Consider the following 1,949-nt stretch of genomic DNA (forward strand, 5'->3'; position numbering starts at 1 on the left):
AGACTCCTCCACTGAAACAAACATGTCAGTTGCCCAACCTGAAAGAGCACATTAAGGCAATATCATTGCTGTGTGTAGGAAAGTTTTCCACTTAAGCACTCTCCTTAAGAATTCCTGCCCCAGGCGCTTGAGCTAACACAGAAACATATGATGGGTGGAACCAGCAGAAGGAGAGGTTTGAAAAGCTTGCATCCTGTCCGGTACCTTTTTCTTTCTCTCAGAGCCATCCTATGTTACCATGTATGTGTGCAAAAGGCCAAAGAAAGGAAAGCCGGACTGGAGCAGAAAGAGAAGATAAGTTTCTCATCGATTCTATGACCTAGGACAAAAAAAGAGTCATGAGGGAAGATGGCAAAAGGTAGCATTTTCAGCATTAATGAATACTTCCCAAGAGCTAGAATAAAACCAGGGCAGAAGTCCTCGAGACTTCAGACACTTTCATTCTCAGGGTGAGAGCCTACCCAGCTTAAATGAGAGAGGAGGAAAAACAAGCTTCTATTTCTGAATTCCAATACCACTGCAGCAATCTTCCCTTAAAAAATGGCAAGGGCCTTAGCTTGAAATATTAATTCAGAAATTAGCATTCATTTGCATCCATTTCTTATGTCCCCAACATTGTGAATAAAATTAACTTAATTAATGAAATCAATTGCAGAAGTATCAAAGCCGTTATTTGGAGCATAACAAAAGAGAAACTCACAACACACAAGTATATGGAACTATTCATTGTCTGGCACACAGCAGGAGCTTAATAGCGGCATATGGACAGAGTGAATGACTAACCGACTGACTGAATGAATGAATAGTCTCCCTTAATAGCTGTTTGATAGATTCCCTACCCTTTCTGTACCTAAATTTCCTGGGTATAAGAAGCAGGGAGTATGGAGGAGTTGATGTAGTTAACCTGCTATTAAGTGGATGGCACAGTCCAGTTGTATCTCATCAGCCTGCAAGCCAGATCAAGGCCTTGCCACCAACTAAATACCTGCATAATCAAATCATCACCTCTCACCCATACCCATGGCCTTTTCCCAGCTACCCCAAAATCAGGGTTCCCCTTCTTCCTTGCCAAGTAATTAGGCACAATGTTCTGCATGTTAGAGAGAAAGTGATTCCAAGGCTTGGTTCCCAAAGTAGTTCCCAGGATCCTCAGTGAGCAGGACCCTTGGAAGGGAGGATTCTTGGGACCTTTTGATAAAAGGCACTTGCACCCAAGATGGCATGATTAGAAGCTACTTCAGCAGCTCACCCTCACAAGCTATCCTCATCTGAATTGAGAAATGAATTTTTCAGTCCCTGCTACAACTTTTGGCAAAGGAAGCAAATGAAGTTGTTTCATTCAAATCAGTCAGCCAGGATTTGCTGAGCTTTAAGCTCCTGTCTGCGAGGAACTTACCATCTGTTTGGGGAGACAAGATTTATGCCCAAGGAACCACTTGAAGGAGCAGTACAAATAGTATCTAATCAAGAACTAACAGACCACAAGGGAGGATTTCATCCTCTCCCTTCTTTTTGCCAGTGACAGGGACAAAAAATGCTTCCAGACCACAATAAACATCCCATGAAACTGAAAGTGAACTGATACCTCACAAAATGGTGATTTCTGGACTGAAAATAGACATTCTTTCACCTCCAAAGCACGCCTATGGAGCAAAAACGAGGAGGAAATTTCTGTTATTCTCAGATGATAGCCAAGGAAGTAAATTGCCTTCCACAAGCTCATTTTCAATAAATGGCTGCTGCTTGAAGGTTTAGATCAGTGGTCCTCAAACTTATGCGCATCAGAATTGCCTGGGAGACTTGTTAGAATGCAGACTGCTGGACCCCACCCTCCCAGAGTTTCTAATTCAGTAGGTCCAGATGGAACTGAGAACTTGTATTTATAATAAATTCCCAGGTGATTCTGATGCTGATGATCAGTGGACCACACACTGAAATCTCCTGGTTTA

At 42.4% G+C, this 1,949-nt stretch overlaps 1 annotated feature.

Annotated features, from left to right (window-relative positions):
• Nucleotides 434-1,025: an enhancer, noted in NCBI's record as "NANOG hESC enhancer chr3:31137307-31137898 (GRCh37/hg19 assembly coordinates)". NCBI's record gives its function as "activates a minimal SCP1, AML or CMV promoter by ChIP-STARR-seq in primed H9 embryonic stem cells {active_cell/tissue: H9 hESC(primed)}" and the evidence as "EXISTENCE:reporter gene assay evidence [ECO:0000049][PMID:30033119]".

This window comes from Homo sapiens, chromosome 3 (assembly GCF_000001405.40).
Source record: "Homo sapiens chromosome 3, GRCh38.p14 Primary Assembly".
Taxonomy (NCBI): Eukaryota; Metazoa; Chordata; class Mammalia; order Primates; family Hominidae; genus Homo; species Homo sapiens.